Genomic DNA, 22,687 nt, shown 5'->3' on the forward strand with positions numbered 1-22,687 from the left:
TTTCTAGTTCTAGATCCCTGAGGAATCGCCACACTGACTTCCACAATGGTTGAACTAGTTTACAGTCCCACCAACAGTGTAAAAGTGTTCCTATTTCTCCACATCCTCTCCAGCACCTGTTGTTTCCTGACTTTTTAATGATTGCCATTCTAACTGGTGTGAGATGGTATCTCATTGTGGTTGTGATTTGCATTTCTCTGATGGCCAGTGATGATGAGCATTTTTTCATGTGTTTTTTGTCTGCATAAATGTCTTCTTTTGAGAAGTGTCTGTTCATGTCCTTCGCCCACTTTTTGATGGGGTTGAATAGAACAAGGACTGACCTCTCCAGCAAGAAGGAATTCTGCCAGCAGATTGAACTGCAACTCTTGCCCGATCTTCCTGCCTGCCACCTACCTCATCAGGTTTTGGATTCACCAAGCCTCCAGAATCACATAAGCCAATTATGTCAAAACAAACCTTTGTTTGTCATCATTGTTTTGTCTGTGTTTTGGTTTGGTTTGGTTTGGATGGGCTCAAGTGATCACTCTTCCTCGGAGCCAATCCAGTTCAATTAAGTTCATTTCCCATTGCTACCCCTCTAATTTTCTCACCTTGTTCAGCACACAGAAGAGAAATCTTACTTCTGCTATGACAAGGCTGCCTAGATTTGGAAACATAAAATGGCATAACATAACCTCTCTCTCTCTCTCTCTCTCTCTCTCTATATATATATATATATATATACACACACACACACACTCTCTCTGAATAGCACACATATTACACACATTATACCTTTAACTCTGCTTCCCAAACTACTCACCAGTTGCGCCTGCATCCAAACCTCATTGTAGTATCCAAATAAATCACTTCTGTTTAAGTTATTATATATGTGATATATTTAAGAGGTCTAGAAAAGAGACTAATAGTAGCATAGAGTCAGTCTTCTAAACTTCTTTCTCTCTCTTAGGACAAAAATTGGAAGCAATATGCAGCCATTTCCAACAAATGAGCAGCCCACATATTAGATGGCAACATCAAGGATAGAAAACTTTAGGAAGATAAAGGCCTGGGAAGTAGATTAGCTGTGGCTTTCGCCTGGATGTGGCTTCATGGAGTTACATATGCCACTGAGAATTCCCGAGTGACAAAGTGATCAAATCCAGGCAAAGGAAAAAAGGAAAGGTGCAGCTTACCCCTCGAAGCAGTGGGCAACTGTCAGAACCCACTTCTTGGCAATGAGGACACAGCCACAGATATGTCCACTGGGTTCACTCTGCAGAGAACACTGCCATGGCCACCTTCCAGGGCGACTCGTCCGACCTCCAAGGATCCTTTTGTTCATTCGGGCAGCAGGGCGGCGCCCACAGTCTACCAAGGAGCAGAAGACACAGTTTGTGAGTTGATGCCAAACCTTGCTAAATGCTTAGCTCTTTGCTGTCACTTACAAGCGATCACTCTTCCCCTGAGCCAATCCAGTTCAATTAAGTTCATATCCCATTGCCACACCTCTAATTCTCTCACCTTGTTTAGTACACAGAAGAGAAATTTTACTTCTGCTCTCACAAGACTGCCTGGATTTGGAAACATAAAATGGTATAACATTAAGTTACATATTTCTTGTTCAATTCAAACACTTTACCAGTGAAATACAAGACAGCTCCAACTGTTACCACCAGAAATCACATTCTCTGAGCATTTCCTGTGTTACCACAGGAAAGCACATTCCTCTTGGTGCAGGAATTCTCAAGGCAGGAGTGTGGTCAGATATTAATCATGTTGTAGGCAGGAGTATATGGAATATATATACTTCTTTTTTTAGTTTATTTAATGTCATCATAATTTAATTTCACATTTGTGGGAAAAGAAACTATTTTAACAAAATTTCCCACATCATTTTGGCTGGTGGAACCACCACAATGCAAATTCAAACTACAGTTCTCAAGGGGAGATGGGAGTACTTTTTAGAGTCAGTGGTGAGGAGGCAGCATGTCAGATTTTTATGCTTATACAAAGTGGTGTGTGCTCAAAACAAGTTGAGAAATACTCCAAGATGAGTAAAATATGACTTCAGAAATTTGAAGAACAGATTAAGAAATGGAATATTTAGACTGGAAAGGAGTCTTACCAAGACTCTCAAGGTTAAATTTCTGCTATATGAGAAGTTGACAAGAGGAAAAGTAGCTTAAATTTGCTTCATATAACTTTAGACGACATGATCAGAACTAGTAGGTGCAATTTACAAGAATTGTGGGTTCAGGAAAAGAATTTTCTAAAATCTAAATTCAACTTTGAATGCAAGAACATGGTCCCTGTTAAAGGATCTTTCAATGTGATGGCACAAGATAATTCAGTTTGGGGTAGAAATTTTAATCACTAAGTTCTCTTCCAACCATGAAACATTTACATTACAACCTCAATGTAAATGAAAAAGGACAATAAAAATCCATATTGGGACTTTCAAAAATACTATGATGTACTTAGAATCCTAGATCTATCAGATTGAAAAAAAAAAATGCAACCCTAAATATATAATTTCCACATTCCTTTCTGAAGATTTACTGTATTTTCATTTCTTGCTAAATTTATGTAGGGGCAAGTGCAATTATTTGCATACAATAAATTATGTAATACAGGAAAAGCTCATTTGCTTTCTACCCTCCCACAGTCTAAAATCCTCTCTTCCTTACTCTCTATTACATTATTCTAAATTTATTTGCAGCACTTACCAAAGCCTAAAATTATTTTTACTAATTTATAATCTTTATTTTCACCCCCATATAGTGTATGTTCCCTGAGATGAGGGCCTTCATTTCCCCTCATTCACTTCTACATCCCCTCAAAGCCTAATACTGAACTTGGCATTAAAGAAATACTTAATAATTAGTTGTTATTTGTTAGATTGAAAACACATAGCTCTTAGGAATAGGAAAAGTCATCAAAGACTATTCATCCAACTTCTTAGTGGAAATTGCAGTTATATAAGATAACACTTGTAGTTAGTAAACCAGGACTAGAACCAAGTTTACCAACTCCCAATCTAGAATGCATTATTTATTTATTTATTTACTTGACCTGAAAGGTTTTTTCTGGAATTACAGGTTTGGGGAAACAAATCACTTGGTTAAAAGATTTAGGTCATTGTTTTAGAGGAAGTACTTCAATTGACAAATATTCAGAAATTTGGCTGCAGAGTTTGTTTTATGAGGAAAATGTCAAGAACTTTTTAAGAGGAAATGGTCCATTTTTAGTTTTCCTCTTTAAAATTCTTAAGAAGTAGCAACATTTATGAGCTTCAGAGTCAGATATATTTATTTAGAGTTCAGACACTATCACTTAGCATCTGTGGGCTGTGAGATTTGAGCAAGTTATTTAAATATTCAAGCTGTAAAATATTGGATAATCATCCATGGTTCACAAATCTATTATGAGGTTTAAACGAGTCAGTGTATATAAGATTACCTAGCTGTGTGCCTATAAAGTAATAAGAACTTAGTAAGTGTAAATTTCCTCAATTTATCTTCCTCCTACACCCCACCCATAGACAAGGGAAGCAACCCTGTTTAAGATGCAATGATTTTTTAGGGTAAACTTAAGTGTACTTTCAAGGCAACTTGATTATAATTTCATTTTTGTGTCTATTCCTCTCTTAGACATTCCAAGTTTTCTTAGTTATCATTACTTCAGTTCCCTCTGTTTACTAGTTCTATGTAGCATCTGCAGGAAATGCAGACATGAGGGTTTATTTTGAATAAGATATTAAAAGTAATCCAAGATTAGAACCCAAGTTCCTCTCTCCTCGCCATGATAGTTTCTGTAATCGTGAATAAAAGAGAAAAAAAATCTATGTCTAGAAAGAAGAAATAAAAGCAACCAATGTTGAAATGTAAAGGCAATAGTAAATCTATGGAAACTCTTTACTGATATGACAAATTTGGATTATCTTAAGTTAAAAAATGGAAGAAAGGCCCAATGATAAACTCTTGCTCTGTAATCTGACTCTACACAGCTCTTATGAATGCATTCTTACCCATTTACTAGAAGTTCATGTAAAGTGGTCCCATTGAGGCTCTCCCAGTTGGAGTGTAATGTCAGCCACCGCGGCTCTTTCTCCTGTTCCTGTATCAATTTGGTCACAGATGGTTCTCTGATACAAGGCAAATACTGGATAAGTATTCAAAGTACAATGATCTTTGAACAGGCATTATCATTATTTAGCACTCATTCCCTTTCAAAAAGAAGCACTAAATCATGTCAACATTTCAAGAGGAGAATTTGGACTGTTACAAATTGTTAGAGCTGTTTTAGTCATTCTCCCTGCTGACCTGTGTTTGAACTGCATGAGGTGTTAGGATTATAATGTGTATGATACAAAAGTTCCAACAGGTAAAACATAAGAATAACTTTAGGCAGAGATCAAAAGTAAAATAAAATGTATCTAGCTAGGTTTTTTTCCTCCTCTTTTCTTGTCCATTGTAATTCTGCAATATAGCAATATAAAATAAAATAAACAACACATAAAGAGAATCAGTGGCCATTTAGCATTTATTTAGACAGCATAAAAGTTGTAAGAATTGTAATATTTCTATGTTTGTAGGTTGTTGTTGTTGTTGTTGTTGTTTTTTTTTTGATGAAGTCTTGCTCTGTTGCCCAGGCTGGGGTACAGTGGTACAATCTCGGCTCACTGCAACGTCTGCCTCAGGGTTCAAGTGCTTCTCCTGCCTCAGCCTCCCAAGTAGCTGGGATCACAGGTACATGCAATCACGCCCAGCTAATTTTTATATTTTTAGTAGAGATGAGGTTTCACCATGTTGTCCAGGGTGGTCTTAAACTCCTGACCTCAAGTGGTCTGCCCACCTCAGCATCCCAAACTGCTAGGATTACAGGCATGAACCATGGCACCTGGCCTCATCTGATTATTATTTTTAAACTATTGTAATCACATAATAGAAAATGGACAAAAACTTCCCCTAACTCATACTTTTAAAAAGGCAAGGAAGAACCCTCTAAAGGGAATACTTGATGATAGAATAAGAGCCAAAGATTAAAAACACAAGAGTATTTCATAATGAATGAATTATAAACATTTGATTTTAAAACAAATGTCATACATCCTAGCCACAATGAAGAAGAGTGGCTTAAGATATAAATTTATTTAGAAATTTGAATTGACTGTTAGATTACCGAAGATATCAAAAAAACCTCTTACAAAAATAAGAATTTTTCTTTTTCTTGGCCAAAATGAATCCGGCTCTCCATCAATTCCAGAAGTTCTGAATGCAGAGGCAAAGTGAGATGGAAAGTATAAAAGTCAGAGGCCACACATACTGGTCATGGTGTTTCTCCTGATAACCTGCATCCTGAGAATTCCCTTCTGCGATAGAACTACCTATGGACCTCCTAAATCCAGGTAAAGCCAAAAGAAGATAAACTTTAGATTTTGTTATTTAATCAGGTCATTCTTAAATCAGGTATTCATAGGGCAACAAGATACTTGCATGGGGAGTGCAATTAGGAGAGAGTGTGCACTGATGCTGGATAGGAAAATCATTGCAAGGAACACCAGCCTTTCAACTCAAAAGGCCCCCAGCTGCCCTGAGGAAGGGCTCCACAGACATCCACAGGATGTTTTTGCATTTCATTCATTAGCTTCCAAGAGGAAAGGCAATCTAGATGGAATTTCTCAGTTATAAGTGGAAAATTTAAGAAATTAATCATCAAGGATAGGGGAGTATCATTATGAAAATTAGGTTTCCATGAAATTCTTGAACACTGGCATGTTTCTCATGCACAAACATAAACTTTCAGCACCAGAAATGTCATCCAATGGCCCATTTAAAAAAGTCAGTGAATTTGTTTGGTTGTATTTCTGCCATCGTACAGAATCTGAGCATCTCCATAACTTCAATTTCCCTTTCTTTTTTTTCCAGCTTTATTGAGGCATTCTTAACAAATAAAAATTGTACATATTTAAGGGGTGTAATGTAATGTTTGATATATGTATACCTTGTGAAATGGCTACCACAATCAAGCTAAGAAGCATATCTATCACCACATAGTTACGTGTGTGTGTGTGTGTGTGTGTGTGTGTGTGTGTGTTAAGAACACTAAGGCCAAGAATCTTAGCAAATTTCAAGTATACAATTTAGCATCGTTAACTATAGTCACCATGTTGTACATTAGATCTCCGGAACTTATTCATTCCACATTACCAAATCTTTGTACCCTTTGACCATCTCCCCATTTTCTCCATCCCCTAGTTTTTGGCAACTAACATTCTACTCTCTGCATTTACAAGTTGACTTTTTTAGATTCCACATATAAATGAGATCATGCAGTGTTTGTCTTTCTGTGCTTGGCGTATTTCACTTAATATGTCCTCCAAGTTTATCCATGTTGTCTCAAATGGCAGAATTTCCTTCTAAGAATACTGAGTAGTGTTCTATTGTGTAAAGAAAATGTAGTGTGTGTATGTGTATTCTTTGCATAAAATTTCTATTGTATAAAGAAATATATATTCTATTGTGTAAAGAAAATGTGGCATCACATTTTCTTTATCCATTCACTTATCAGCAAACACTGAAGTTGTTTTCATATCTTGGGTATTATGAAGAGTGCTGCAATTAACATGAGAGTGCAGATGTCTTTTTGAGATAATTATTTCCTTTAGATATATACCCAGAAGTGGGATTGATGGATCATATGGTAGGTAGTTCTATTTTAAATTTTTTGAGGAATCTCCATACTGTTTTTCATAAGTACTGTACCAATTAACATTTCTACCAAGAATATATAGGGTTTCCCCTTCTCCACTTCTCCCCAACATTTTTTATGTTTTCTCTTTTTGATGATAACCATTTTAACAGATATGAGGTGACATTTCATTGTGATTTTAATTTGCATTTCCCTGATGATTAGTAATGCTGAGCACCTTTTCTTATATTTGTTGGCCATTCTATGTCTTCCTTTTAGAAATGTCTGTTCAGGTCCTTAGTCCACTTTTCAATCAGGTTATTTGGCTTTTTGCTGTTGAATTATTTTAGTTCCTTATGTATTTTGGATACTAACCTCATTGGATATATGGTTTTTTTAAATAACTTTGAAAATTATAAAAGTAATACTTGTACACAGAAAAATATATCGACAATTATAAAATGATAAAGTTGTTTTCTTCTCCTATCATATCAACAATTATAAAATGAAAAAGTTGTCTTCTTCCTATCTTAGATGCATAGAAACAACCACTGTAAATAGTGTTTGAGTATCTTTGTCAAGCTCTTTCTACAATTCATGTATACATTTCCCTCCTTTGCTACACACGTTGTTCTGTGTGGTCTTGATACTTTCACTTAGTGACTTATCTTAGAAGTCTTTCCACCATAACAGCTAACAGGTGTTAACTGTTTTCTATATGACAAGCACTAAAAGACTAACTTGTTTTATTTAATCATCTCAACAACTCTGTGACGTAGACTTTATAATTATTTCCCATTTTGGAGATGAAAAAATTGAGGTAGAGAAAACAAGTAACATGCCCAAGGCACAAAACAAGCAGACGGCAAAGCTGGTAATTTAATCCCTATGGTCTCATGTCAGAGTACAGTTCTTAAAGTGTGAACCCTACACAGTTCTCCCCCATTGACAGCACACCATGTTCTTTTGATAGCTGCATAGTGTTTGTTACATGGATGTTCATACATTTACTTAACTAATCTCTGCACACATAGGTTTGGGGGTATGATAAAATAGCAGCAGTTAATATCGTAAACATTCACCTTCGCCTACATGCAAAAGTATGATTTTGGAATAAATTCCTAGAAATAAAATCATTGAATCAAAATTTGAATTTTTGATTGGTATTATGAACTTCCATTTCAAAGAATAATAGTAATATACATGCACATCAAGAATATGTGTGCCTGTACTTCTCCATTTTTAAAACTATGTAAATCATCTTACGTAAAAGGTGGCTGGAACTTAAGAGCTGCTCAAATTTTGTTTGATGATTGGGATTGCTTTTGACTTAAATAATTGAAACCGTTTTGTATTATATGAAAAGACAAAAAAGTCCTGTTGTGTAGAAAGCAAAAGAGAAAATTTAAGCATCAAAGTCACTGTATCCTAACTGAGTCTGTGCAGGTAATACAGACTCAAAATGCTTCCATAGCATCTATGGATTCATACACGGAGAAGGAAATTTTAGCAATGATCTAATCCAGCAGCTAGGGCAAGAGTACCAGTGGAGGCCCAATTGCCATTTGTCTACATATTTAGAAGTTATAAATCAAGTTATCAAGCTGTTAAAGAAAATTTCTCTCCTCCTCTCTTGACAAACACATCTGTTAGGTTCAAATACAGAACTCTTGGACTCCTGAGAACAGTGGGTTTCAAACTTTAGCATTCATCAGAATCACCTGGAGGACCTGTTACAACACAGATTTGTTGGCCTCATCCCCAGATTTTCTGATTCAGTTAAGTCTCAGATGGGACCCAAAATCTGTCTCTCTACCAAGATCACAGGTGATGATGATGATGCTGGTCTGAGACCGCACTTTGAAAGCATCACTCTAGAAAAGGGATGAGGCTCCATGTGAGCAGAACTCCTTGGCTAACAGAGTCCTTACCCCATGGGGTGAGCTAGAGGAGGAGGGCCGGAGGGTGCCTATAAATCAGGGTTTCTCACCCTAAATGCTATTGACAAGTTATACCAGTTAATTAATTGCTATGTAGAGTGATTCCTGTGCACTGCAGGATGTTTTGTAACATCCCTGGCTTCTACCCACTAGCAAGTAAGACCCCATCAACCCTGGATTTACAATTTAAAAAATAATGTCTACAGACATTCCAAATGTCCCCTAGGACAGGGGTCCCCAGCCCCAGGGCCCCTGTTAGGAACCAGGCCACACAGCAGGAGGTGAGTGCGGGGCAAGCCAGCAAAGCTTCATCTGTGTTTACAGCTGCTCACCATCACAGGCATTACTGCCTGAGCTCCGCCTCCTGTCCAATTAGTGGCCTTAGATTCTCCCAGGAGTGTGAATCCTATTGTGAACTGCGCATGCAAGGGATCTGGGTTGCGTGCTTCTTATGGGAATCAAATGCCTGATGATCTGTCACTGTCTCCCATCACCCTCAGATGGGACCATCTAGTTGCAGGAAAACAAGCTCAGGTTTCCCACTGATTCAACATTATGGTGAGTAGTATAATGATTTCATTATATATTATAATGTAATAATAATAGAAATAAAGTGCACAATAAATGTAACGTGCTTGAATCATGCCAAAACCATTCCCCCCATCCCATCCCAGTCTGTGGAAAAATTGTCTTCCACAAAACCAGTCCCTGGTGCCAAAAAGGTTGGGGATTGCTACCCTAGGGGCAAAGTCACCCCTGGTTGAGAACCACTGCTCTAAATCATGGAGCCCAGGGCAAGGCCCCTCTGCTCTGGGCCTGAAGGCAGTGCTATACAGAGAAGCAAAAGGATTTGCCTTATATTTGCTTCTTGAGGAATTGTGTAGTCATAAGACACACATACAAATATATCACTTTTCTGATGCTGAAATGAGAGAACAGAGCTCATTAGGAGTTCTGGAACATCCTGACATTATGAGAGGGATTAAATATTTCAAGGCTTAGGAGAACAGCCAGATCCCTAGACAATTTGGCCTACTCTCCCATCCTCAAGTCACTTCGTTTAGTAATAAATATCCCATGCTTGAATTATGATTATGTTGGGGCTGCTTACTTAAAAAACGAAGGTCATCACAAATTCCCCCAAAACCAGGGCTTTTTTCTTACCTCTAACAACAAGACAGAAGTGCAGGAATTACCTAGACATGTAACACACTTCAGTTGAAGGATAAGGTTTGTCCTCTTCCATCTATTGATGGGGGAAAATAATCTAAGCATCCAGCCTCAGTCCTTGACAGTTCATCTTGACATATAAATGCCTTTCACAGTGGATAAGATAAATTTTTTGCAATTCTAAATATCCTGTTCCAAACTTGAAACATTTATACTAAACATTTTGTATCTGATTTCAAAAATCTCTTCTTGAATCTTGTCATATTCTCCCTGTTTGGGTCCCACAGATTTGACATACTAATAACTGAAAGTTATTGTGTCAAGTAGAAATTTTAACAGGCAGGTACTAATAGGTTTCAAACAAAACATGAATGAACTCTGCTACAGAAACATTTCTCAGGCTGGATAGCTCAGTTCAATGGGAGTTTATACAGCAAAACTTTCATCAATAGAAATGCTTAAAGCAGAGCATAAGTTCTGAGCTTATTTTTCTAGTTAACTCAGTATTTTAAAAACACTTTTTATTGCAATCCTAACTGACAATAGATGATAGATAGATAGATAGATAGATAGATAGATAGATAGATAGAGATAGATAGTTAGATAGATTTTTTTTTTTTGAGATGGAGTCTCACTCTGTCGCCCAGGCTGGAGTGCAGTGGCGTGATCTCAGCTTACTGCAACCTCCACCTTCCAGGTTCAAGCAATTCTTCTGCCTCAGCCTCCTGGGTAGCTGGGGACTACAGGCTCATGCGACCACGCCCGGCTAATTTTTGTACTTTTTGGTGGAGGTGGGGTTTCATTATGTTGCCCAGGCTGGTCTCGAACTCCTGACCTCAAGTGATCCACATGCCTCAGCCTCCCAGAGTGCTAGGATTATAGGCGTGAGCCACTGCGCCCAGCCTATAATTTTATTCTTTGACTATGTGTTTGTCTATCTCAGAGATGGAGTGTAGTAACTGTATTAGGCAAGGATCTATAGGTACAAATGACAAAACTATCTCAAAGCAAAGGGGGGAGGTTAATGGATCATAAAATTAACTTGCAGAGTATTTATATTTCATAAAATAAACTAATAAACAAAACTAAATATTTAATCCATTTCCAATATAAAAATTACAAAATTGTAATGTGAACTAAAATTTAAATTTATAAAATATGACTGTTAAATATACATTATCATTCTAATATAAATTAGAAAACAAAATTAATAAAATAAAGCACCATTTAAAATAAACATCTTATTAAAAGTGTAAAAATAATCAATCATAAACATTTTGAATGAAAATATCATTTGAACATATATAAAATTCAGTCTTATAAAATAAACATGTTGTAAGAATATTTTTGAGCAGAAGTGTCTACCTCTTTTGGAATCTATGCCAGTCCAGATATTTCCTTCTGGCTATTTTATTTTCAAAAATCTCATCTCCTTTTTTCGAGAACTTGACCTTTTGGGACAACACTTTTTTTTGAGAGACAGAAATGCAACATTTTATTGACAATTTAATTTTAGTTTCAAAGAAAATATTTCTTGTTTATCTTCACATCTTTTGTTTCATCATGTAAAGCTAGAGATTATCAGTTTCAATTTCAACATGACTTTTTAAATTCCAGTTCTTCAGAAAGACTGTGAACCAGAGTAGAATGTATTTTTCTAACACAAGTCTTGCTTTGTTGGCTGCTCTTCTCTTCTTCTTGAGTATAACAGGAATATAAAAATGCTTTCTAAAAATACGTGCATCACTTTTCACTTCAAAGTTTTAAGTCAGTATATAACTATATGGATCCATTACAAGATAAATTAATTCAAAATTCAAAAAAAATTAAACAAATATTGAATTAACTAAAAAATCGGCATTTTAAAAATGCCTAAAATAGTGCTGGAATATATGAGTATCAAAAAGTGGAAATGTAATTGATTACTAAAGAGATGTGGATGGTCTTCAGGATGATTGATGCCAGGGAACCAGTACCCTCAAGGCTCTTCAGCTCGTCTCCACTTCCTTCTGTGTTGTGGGGAGGAGGGCAAAGGGGATGGCAGCTTGATTGGCTTAAAGTAACTTTTCTGCAAGCCAAAGGACTGGTTGCCTACAGCTCTAAACTCACAGGCATTCGTCTTTATAACCAAAAAAGAAAGAAGTCATCTCTCCCAGGTCCAATCAAAATAAATCTTGGGCCGGGTGTGGCTCACGCCTGTAATCCCAGCACTTTGGGAGGCCAAAGCAGGTGGATCACGTGAGGTCGGGAGTTCAAGACCAGCCTGATCTACATGGTGAAACCCCATCTCTACTAAAAATACAAAAATTAGCCAGGCATGGTGGTGAGTGCCTGTAATCCCAGCTACTCAGGAGTCTGAGGCAGGAGAATCACTTAAACCTGGGAGGTGGAGGTTGCAGTGAGCCAAGATCACACCATTGCACTCCAGCCTGGGTGACAAAAGCGAAACTCTGTCTTAAATAAATAAACAAATAAAAACCTTGTTGAAGATACAAATAAAAATCTTGTTGAAGAAACAAGTATCCCAAAACCAATTACTTTGGCCTGGCAGTAAGACACTTTGATTGGTCCATCTTGGGATAGGTACCTACCCCTCAACCAATCCCAGACCCAAAAGAGAAAGTCATGTACAAAGAAGGTTGCTCCCATTTGGAGCCCAAGGATAAAATGGGAAGTGAAGTAAATATCGAGAAGGAAGGGATGTAGGTCCCAAAGGAAGGGAGGAATGCAGAGAAGCAACACAATATGTGCCCGCTGCATGTGATCTTAATTGAAATGTGTTAGTTCATTGTTCTTGAGAGTCAAGATTCTACATGTTCTTCAGTTTGTATGTTAGTTTTAAGAAGACATAGGAAATGTAAAAGATTAGGTTGAAATTAGATTTGACATGTTTATTAATGATACAATGGGTTAATCAGTGAGTGTTCAAGCTGATATAAAGTGAGTTGGAGCTCAGAAGAAACATTATAGTGACACTTTAAACAAGTGACAGAGCCAGATAGACAAGGGTTAAAACTGATGCTTAGAGGTTAATGAGGTGGGACAGAAATGGAGACAACAGATTGGTGTTGTATCAGATGGAGTCCCTCTCTGAGGAGCTATTATTTTAGTTAGAGGAACAAATTACAAACATGTAAAAAACTATTTTGGATACTGATAAGTTGTTGGAATAAGACAAAATAACCAAATGTGATAGAGTTACATGCTGAGACTGAAAGCTGCCTCAAGTAGGATTGTCAAAGAAAGCCTAAGTCACAGATGTATGAGCTGAGACATGAATGATGAAGCCCTAGAGTTCTGTATTCTATGCAAAAATAACGGTGAAGGAAAGTTTGAAATGTTTTATGCTTGAAATGTTTTAACATCAATATTAAGGTCAATGTGTCTAAAGTTTAGTGGGCAAGTGGAGAATACTAGGATATGTATTGGGTCAGAGAGGAAGGCAGGGGCCAAATTATGCAGTGTCTGACAGGTCAGAGTAAGAAATCAGATTTTCAGTCCAAACTGTAAAATAGTAAGAAAAGAAGACCAAAGGCTTTTGCATGTTGGTAATATTATTGCTGTCAGTCCTGTCTTTCAGGTAAAAGCCAGATTGCAGTAGGTTTTGAAGACAACATGAAAAAGACACCTTATCAGAAGTTAAGTCATTACTAAGGGTCTCCTGGCATATCTAGCTTCAAAAGCAGACTGCTTCCTTACAAGGGCTTCTAACAGAAATAATACAAGCCCTCTTTGGTCAACTCCTGATGGATTATTCAAGTTATAAATCATGTTCTTATTTACCCAGGATCCATTCATATCATGTCCAAGACAATGCTGCAACCATGGTGATGACTGGGAGTAAATTTTAGGAGGAAGTTAAAGTGTAAACCCTTATACCAGGGATTATTAGGGACTAGTAGGTAATATAATAGATGTTGTCTTTGTGGTTTTGCCCAGATACAGAAATATTCTTTGAAAACAATGTTTGACCAACTTCTATTGACCAACACTAAAAGATTAGGGCATAAAATCAAATTGCAACTAACTCCATAAAAGCATTTTTGCCAAAATCATATGACCCAGACACACTGTTTCCCGATTATCTAACTTTAGATAAAGCTTGTGGAGCCCAGAGATATAAAGAGTCACCTTTCCCTTAGACTAACTCACTCAAATACCAGATGTTTCAACTGAGCATTTGGCAAATATTAGAAGGCAGTCTAAACTCTGATTTGTATCATCAATTAAATAAATGTCCATAGGTTTTTTGATACTGAACATGCAAGTAGCAAAGTCAATATGCTGTTGACATGATTTGGCTGTATCCCCACCCAAATCTCATCTTGAATTGTAACTCCCACAATTCCCACATGTCATGGGAGGAAACTGGTAGGAGGTGATTGAATTATGGGGGTGGGTCTTCCTGTGCTGTTCTCATGATAGTGAATGAGTTTTAGGAGATCTGACAGTTTTAAAAATGGGAGTTTCCCTGCACAAGCTCTCTCTTTTCTGTGTGCTGCCATCCACGTGAGATGTGACTTGCTCCTTCTCACCTTCTGCCATGATTGTGAGGCCTCCACAGCCATATGGAACTGTAAGTCCATTAAACCTCTTTTTTTCTTCCCAGACTCAGGAATGTCTTTATCAGCAGTGTGAAAATGGACTAATACAGTAAATTGGTACCAGCAGAGTGGGGTGCTGCTGTAGATACCCAAAAGTGTGGAAGCAACTTTGGAAGTGGGTAACAGGCAGAATTTGGAAAAGTTTGGAGGGCTGAGAAGAAGACAGGAAAATGTAGGAAAGTTTGGAACTCCCTAGAAACTAGTTGAATTGCTTTGATCAAAATGCTGATAGCGATATGGACAATAAAGTCCATGCTGAGGTGGTCTCAGATGGAAATGAGGAACTTGTTGGGAACCGGAGCAAAGGTGACTCTTGTTATGTTTTACCAAAGAGAGTGGTGGTATTTTGCCCCTGCCCTAGAGATTTGTGGAACTTTGAACTTGACAGATGATTTAGGATATCTGGTAGAAGACATTTCTAAGCAGCAAAGCATTCAAGAGGTGACTTGGGTGCTGTTAAAGGCATTCATTTTCATAAGGGAAGTAGAGCATAAAAGTTAGGAAAATTTGCAGCGTGACAATGCAATAGAAAAGAAAATACCATTTTCTGAGGAGAAATTCAAGCTGGCTGCAGAAGTAACGAGGAGCAGAATGTTAATCCCCAAGACAATGGGGAAATGTCTCCAGGACATGTCAGAGGTCTTCATGGCAGCCCCTCCCATCACAGGCCCAGAGGCCTAGGAGGAAAAAGTGGTTTCATGGGCTGGGACCAGGGTCCTTGTGCTGTGTGCAGCCTAGGGACTTGGTGCCCTGTGTCCCAGCCATGACAGCTATGACTAAAAGGGGCCAAGGTACAGCTCAGGATGTTGCTTCAGAGGGTGGAAGCCCCAAGCATTGGCAGCTTCCACATGGTGTTGAGCCTGTGAGTGCACAGAAGTCAGGAATTGGGATTTGGGAACCTCTGCCTAGATTTCAGAAGATGTGTGGAAATGCCTGGATGCCTAGGCAGAAGTTTGCTGCAGGGGTGGGGCCCTCATGGAGAACCTCTGCTAGGCAGTGTGGAAGGGAAATGTGGAGTCAGAGACCCCCACAAAGAATCCCTACTAGGGCATTGCCTAGTGGAGCTGTGAGAAGAGGGCCACCATCCTCAAGACCCCAGAATGGTAGATCCACTGATAGCTTGCACCATATGCCTGGAAAAGCCGCAGACACTCTATGCCAGCTCATGAAAGCAGCTAGGAGGGAGGCTGTACCCTGCAAAGCCACAGGGGCAGAGCTGCCCAAGACCCATGGGAACCCACTTTTTGCATCAGTGTGACCCAGATGCAAGACATGGAGTCAAAGGAGATCATTTTGGAGTTTTAAGATTTGACTGCCCTGCTGGATTTCAGACTTGCATGGGGCCTGTAGCCCCTTTGTTTTGGCCAATTTCTCCCATTTGGAATGGCTGTATTTACCCAATGCCTGTACCCCCATTGTATCTAGGAAACTAATTTGCTTTTGATTTTACAGGCTTATAAGATGGAAGGGACTTGCCTTGTCTTAGATGAGACGTTGGACTGTGGACTCTTGAGGTAATGCTGAAATGAGTTAAGACTTTGGGGGACTACTGGGAAGGAATGATTGGTTTTGAAATGTGAGGACATGAGATTTGGGAGGGGCCAGGGGCAGAATGATATGGTTTGGCTGTGTCTCCACCCAAATCTCATCTTGAATTGTAACTTCCATAATTCCCACATATCATGGGAGGAAACCAATGGGAGGTGATTCAATTATGGGGGCAAGTCTTTCCTGTACTGTCTTCATGATAGTGAATAAGTTTCACAAGATCATATGGTTTTAAAAATGGGAGTTTCCCCACACAAGCTCTCTCTTTTTTGTGTGCCACCATACACGTGAGATGTGACTTGCTCCTCCTTGCCTTCCACCATGATTGTGGGGCCTCCCCAGCTCTGTGGAACTGTAAGTCCATTAAACCTCTTTTTCTTCCCAGTCTCGGGTATGTCTTTATTAGCAGCATAAAAATGGACTAATACAGCTGCCATGAGAATTTAGGGGCTTGATTTATGCATTCTTCTAATCAGAGAGCCATCATACTTCCAATCTGGGCTGAACTCTTGAGATAGCAACAGATGAAAGCAAAAAGTTTTCAAATTCAACAAAGAACTCTAAATCTTCTCATCTAGACAAGCACTGAGTTGAGAGCCTAGCATTTGAGCAGCAACACATGAAAGGCATAATTTGGGTCTAAAACATCCTAAGTGCAGGTGTTTTAAATCAACTGCCTCTATCATGAAAGCATTTCAGTAGAATCCCTGCAACCCATGAAATTTGGGAGACCTGCATTCTTGATAAATTCCCTCCAAAATATACCCCCTGAAGTAGAAGAATGATCCACTTGGAATTAGGGTATGCTGGTTCCGGACCCTACATACACACTACAATGCCGTTCTCTATAAATGTTTACTGAATGAACGGATGAATGAATGAGTGATACAACAAATTTATACTATCAAGATAAGATTAAAGTTTTATGTTTTTCTTGTATAATTTTAATAGAAATGCCATGTTCTATGCAATAAGTCTACACCATTCTCTGATGGCAAAATATCTGGACTTTTTTCTAACTTTGTGTTCTTGGCTGTTTACCTACATGTCTTCCCCACTCCATTATAAACTCTGATGATGTTATTCACTTTTGCATCCTCGACCCAATGCCTAGTCCAGTACAAGGCCCATAAGCAGATACTCAAAAATAAAAAGGGAAGGGGAATGCTGAATGGAATTAGTTGGGAGTTGCTTTTTAAACTTCAAGTTTTTGATGCAGAATATGTCTGAATGTACAAAGGCAGGCTGGCATAAACTCCACTCCAGAAGCTAAGAAGGAACACCATTCCCACTTCCCTCCTTGTGCAGCATAGGCCAATCATGGCCAGACAAACCCTTCTAGCAAGGGCTTTGATCTGGAGGAAATGACTCAAAGGTGCAGGGTGACTTAGAGTTTATTTGAGGCATCGGTGGCAGAATCATGAATTTGCAGCACAGCAGCTGGTCTCGAGAGACAGTGGTCACATGGCAGCTGCCTGAGCCTGTTCCCTCAGCAGGAAGATAGCCTCATCTTGACCATTACCATCATTCCCGGCATAGCCTGGCTCTCCAGATTTCTGTCAATTCATGAGCCACTCAAGTCAACTAAAGAGTAAACTTCAAGGCAACTAAAAAGTTCAAAAACTACTAGTACTCATTTCTTTGGAGGACTTATCACCACTTACCCATTTTTCCCATTAAATCAGTCAAATAATGGATATGGGTTTCCAACCACACCTCTATCTCAGATTTTCCTAGTCCTTCTGTGAAATAAAATAATCTAAAATAAAAAGTATCTGCATGTCTATTTGAATTTTATATATCTAAAGATATCTAAAATACTGAAGTTTCATTTTCCAGCTATGTTGAGAAAATGGAGCAAATGGAGTACATAATTTTTTAAAAATCCACTGTGCACACAATAGCCAAAGGTGGGAATAATCCAAATGTCTGAATGGATAAACAAAATGTATATCCATTTAATGGCATATTATTCAGTCACAAGCAGGAAAGAAGTACTGGTACATGCTACAAGACAGATGATTGAAAATGTGCTAAGTAAAAGAAACCAGATGAAAAGGCCTCATGTTGTATATTTCCATTTATATTGAAATATCCAGAATAGGCCAATTTATAGAGGCAGAAAGCAGATTAGTTGTTACCTGGTCCAGTGGGTACGAGAAAATGGAGAGTAACTGCCTAGTGAGTACACAGTTTCCTTTTGGGATAATAAAAGTGTTCTAAAACAAAGAGTGGTGATGGTTGCACAACATTGTGAATAAAGTAAATGCCACTGAATTATACACTTTAAAGTGGTTAAATGGTGAATTTTATGGATGTGTATTTTAACACAATAAAAATCCCAATATGCAAATATTTAGAAGAAACATAAAGAAGCATATTTAAAAACAGGAACCTTTCTATTTACAATAGAACAGCTATGTTCAGGGTGGCTTGTCAAAAGGACTTTCTGGTTGTAAAATCTTTGCAGTTTCAACCTTATACCAATAAGGTTTTATCGAGAAGAAAAATAAAAATAACCATATTCAAAAGATTTTTCATTTATCTCTGAACACAATCATAACCTATTTCATTTAGACACAATAAGGAAGTTGTGAGAATGAAGTCTAATTTAATAGATCTTGGCAAATATAATTTTTCCACTCTCACAAAGTTTAAAATTCCTTTATTATAGATGAGCATTAGTTATTCAATTCCTAAAGATGTTGGTCTTCACATGGGAGAAATGGACTCAAGATGGTGGGAGCTGCATATTAGTAATTCTTTAAACTAGGATAACAAAAATGTGCTGCTAGTTGCTATCCCATAACTGCATGACTCATTATTGTAAAATTGTTTCAAGTTTGTTCAATGGATCTTAGGAAATGGCATTTACTCAATTTTTTATTTAGTCTAGAATTTTAGAACTCCTTTGTCTTCAATTTCTCTAATTTCTACATTTCCCCCAAATCTCAAATACATCAATGGTAAAAGAAATACTTACACATTCTAAGACCCTGAAAATTATTGCTTTCCACCCCCAATGGAATTGAAAAAGAAAAACCTCACAAAATAGCAAGTATCTAACTTTCAAAGGATCCATTTCAGTATATCTGTATCAAAGCCAGAGTGAATCTTTTCATTCTACTAAGAAGCAAATATACTGAACTATTTCTTGATTTACATTTACTGCCTTACTTAGAGTAAACAGAAATGCCAGCAACTTCAGCTTATTTAAAAATGTGTGTTGCTTAAGAAGAAATTTTCAATAACCTCTTGGGGGGAAATTACAAGATATTTTCATCCAGATTCCTCAAAGGAAATGATTGTAATGCTTTTATAAATAATGAAAGCATTTCATTGCAGAAGTACTTAAAATACAATTACTTCATTTACTTTTAGAGGCTTCATCAAAGTACATTTCCAGCACACACTCTTCAGGGCAGGTGCCTATAATTAAATATGGTCCTCTCACCTGATTCATTTCCCGGGTTTTGAAGGACTCTTTGTTTGAGAGCACTAACTCTCTGTGCATCCTAAGGAAGATATTACTGCCAAGTTCCACAAAGCCTTCTGAGAAATTCATCAGTGCTACAAACTACTGACCTTACCCTAAACCCATCTGCTTGCAGGCCAGCTGACTCAATATCTCCTGCCAGCCATCTGCACACACATGGTGTTCTGTGGCAGCTCTGTGAACCATCAGAAAGGAAGAGGAGTTCACATTTATAGAGAGGGTCACTAGGGAAAGAAAAGACAAGGGAAACCCTAATTAAAAACATTTCTTCCCATGAAAGCACATAACTTTACATGCCTCTGCTTCATTGGCATACATTCATTTTCATTTATTTTAGTTAATCATTTGATGTGTACCTACCCTGTGCAAATCACTGCCTTCAGTGTGCTAGAGGGCTAAAAAAAAAATGAATTAGAAATGTTCTCTACCCTCAAAGAACCGTAGACTCTAATGAAAGAGACAGGCAGTTCTTAACTTTTCTTAATGAGTTAGAAGACAGCCAGAGCCAGGCCTCATCCCATGAGTTAACCAGGATTTGCATAATTACAAGAAGCGAGTTGTAAATCTATTTCTATCATTTCCTTCAAGAAAGTATACGAGAACGCAAGTGCGTGAGAGGGATGCAAATTTAGGATTAATTTGGTATATGTGTTAATTCCTATTATATAAAGGAGAATCCTCTGTACTTAACCAGCCTCAGAGCACTTAGGAAACGCTGCACAATTGATCACAACACACATGAGAATCATGATTTGGCTGGATGATGCAAAGGACTGAGAAAGAGCTGAGTGAATGGAAGGAGTGATGAGTGTGGGATGAGGAAATTAATCAAACTCAAGATCACAAACTGCAACACTGGAGGTGCTGGTAGGAGATGTCTTTAATTCCTGTCTGTGTAAGGAGCTAGACAGTTAGAAGTCTTGGACCTGAAGAGTGTAGGGAAGGCAGAGGGGCCACTTGACTATTCTATTCTAGCAGGTAGAGGTGACAAAAGAATGGCAGACTATCATTAAATTTATTGAAGTTGGGTTTTAATGAAGAGTTTTTAAATCCTCTCCCAGCAATTATATGATTACAACATTTTGAACCCAAACGTTTTTCCATACAATATAGATATTTCAAATAGAGAAGTAGCTTCGTGGGGAAATTTTCTGTGAGTTGGAAATAACACACATAGATCAGCACTATCAGCTTTTATAACAGTAAAACAAAATAGATGAACTTGGTCAGTAAAATCCAGGAAGTAATTTAGGATCCATTCAGCTTCAGTGGCTGACAGGCATGAGAGAGTACAACAGATGGCAGAAACAAGTAGCTCACCACAGTCCCATTCATCTGAACTGTCTGAGCAGTCGGCTTCACCATCACACCACAGGTCACGTGACACACACGCATGGTTTGCACATTCCAGCTCATCATCTTGGCAAAATGCTGGCATGGGGAACAAAAAGTGAGAAGGAAAACATTTTAGAAATAAATGTGATTATCACTAACATGCATATCTTCATGTGCCAGCAGGAGCATGGAAAGAAGAAAATATGTGATCACTGAGGCTTCCAAACGGGCATAAAAACAGAATAACATAATTTGTAAAATATCATTTAATAGACATCAATACATACAAAGAGCATTTAAACAGAATTACTATGTTCAAGTGACTCAATGTTCTGGTTCTAACAATCAGACTGAATAAACAGTACTCACAGCCGCAGAAATACCAAAGATCAGAGAACGGGGTTAAAATCTGCATGAGCAGAGCATGAGGGATGAACAGACTGAAGCCGCCTTAGATAGAAAACAATCTCTGTCCACAGAGATGCATAATAAGTTTTTTTTTCCATCTCTATTATTAAATGACTCTCTGAGTCATACATAGTTCTCTTTTGGGTTTTAAAAATTATAGTAAATCTCCTTGATTGCCTACTTAACAACCATTTCCTTTCTCCCTCCTTTCTTTAAGGGAGCCCGATTTTGTTCAGGCCCCTACACCAGCCATCCCCACTTCCAAAGGAAGATCCTGATTAGTTTAAGCTGGGCATGGCATTTTTCTGTCTACAGTTTTTTTGTTTGTTTGTTTCTGAATACAATTAGTAGTCCAGGAGTAAACATGTGCTCCGATATCAGGGCCTTGACCTACGGTTGTGTGATTGTGCTTCACAGGACAGCTCCTGCCCAAACTCTGCTGCTGTGCCATGTGCCCTAGCCTGGGACAGGAACAACCTGGAGAAAACAGCACCTTTTTTTTGATTGGTTCTCCCTGCGTGGTGCTTCTTTTTGCAGTTCAGCTGTTTGTAGGAAGTGTCTTTTCTAACTACACAAAGACTCCTGACGGCTAGCTGTGACTCCGCCCAAAGTTGACCTGAGCGAATCCCTTAATGATATCTTGGAGATATGAACACAGTTCTTCCTCCTTCCAGCTGGACATGATCAAGGAAGCATGGTGCCCCAGATGCCCTTGGTAATGTCATATTTTCACCATTGTGGGAGCCAGCCTGAGTTGAAGCTGAACTGAAAAAATCACAGACAAAGTGCTAAACTGCTGCATACAGCCTCAAGAGTCCACCTACTTGACTCTATATGATAATATAAAACATGTGATATGTATATGATAATAAAAGATAAATGTCTTCATTATTTGTCATTTTGATTTGGGCTTTTCTGTTATTTGTAGGTAAAACATCTTAAGAGACATAATTATTTTCTGGCTCTAAAAGCAATGGCCATTCACTTAGAAAATGTAGAAAAGATAGAAAAGCACAAAAATTTAATAATTATACCACCCAAAGACTATAACTGTAAACTTTTAAATATGACTTTCTGATCTTTTTCTATGTGTAGATATATGTACTTTCAAAACTCAGGACAATAGTGCACATAATACTGAATATTCTGTTTTACTCAACTAATGACATATAATGAATCCAAGAGAAATTTTTCTTCTCTAATTTAATTTTAATATTTGTATATTATTTTCTTTTATGATTGTAGTTTATGTTCCCTATTATTGGATATTTGGAGGTATTTTGATTTTCTCATATTATAAATAATGCCAGAAGAATATTATAGTGTATATATTTTACACATATTTAGTTGGCTTCTTAGAATATGTCTTTACAAGTGGAGTTTGATCAAAAGATGTGAAAATACTAAAAGATTTGTATGCATATTTACACACTTTTAGCTTGTATTCAAAATGAGACTTAACTGGTGTTTAAAATAAAAATGCTCTGTTGACAAATTCGCATAAGCACTTA

General features: G+C 37.8%; 1 protein-coding gene and 1 long non-coding RNA gene across 6 annotated transcripts in view; one reads left to right on the forward strand and one right to left on the reverse strand.

Annotated features, from left to right (window-relative positions):
• CORIN (corin, serine peptidase) overlaps nucleotides 1–22,687 on the reverse strand; it is a 244,067-nt gene that overhangs the window by 28,392 nt on the left and 192,988 nt on the right. For 2 of the 3 annotated variants that reach the window (NM_001278585.2, NM_006587.4), the window contains 5 exons: nucleotides 20,754–20,864; nucleotides 19,528–19,657; nucleotides 4,013–4,129; nucleotides 1,507–1,556; nucleotides 1,179–1,353 (listed from right to left, as the gene is read on the reverse strand). In NM_001278585.2, the coding sequence (NP_001265514.1) occupies nucleotides 1,179–1,353; nucleotides 1,507–1,556; nucleotides 4,013–4,129; nucleotides 19,528–19,657; nucleotides 20,754–20,864 (583 nt within the window). Of the gene's footprint in view, nucleotides 1–1,178; nucleotides 1,354–1,506; nucleotides 1,557–4,012; nucleotides 4,130–19,527; nucleotides 19,658–20,442; nucleotides 20,865–22,687 lie in introns of those variants that run through there. The other variant, NM_001278586.2, reaches the window with a different exon arrangement.
• On the forward strand, nucleotides 1,293–22,671 carry LOC105374444 (uncharacterized). Of its 3 annotated transcripts, XR_007058109.1 has the most exons (6): nucleotides 1,293–1,379; nucleotides 4,637–4,733; nucleotides 5,251–5,392; nucleotides 9,116–9,173; nucleotides 13,353–15,903; nucleotides 21,594–22,671. It is a non-coding gene; the product is annotated as an uncharacterized LOC105374444 (long non-coding RNA). The 3 variants fall into 3 exon arrangements; XR_925284.3 differs by lacking the exons at nucleotides 1,293–1,379; nucleotides 4,637–4,733 and having other exon boundaries at nucleotides 4,860–5,392; XR_007058108.1 differs by lacking the exons at nucleotides 1,293–1,379; nucleotides 4,637–4,733; nucleotides 5,251–5,392; nucleotides 9,116–9,173 and having other exon boundaries at nucleotides 12,218–15,903.

This window comes from Homo sapiens, chromosome 4, assembly GCF_000001405.40.
Source record: "Homo sapiens chromosome 4, GRCh38.p14 Primary Assembly".
Lineage (NCBI taxonomy): Eukaryota > Metazoa > Chordata > Mammalia > Primates > Hominidae > Homo > Homo sapiens.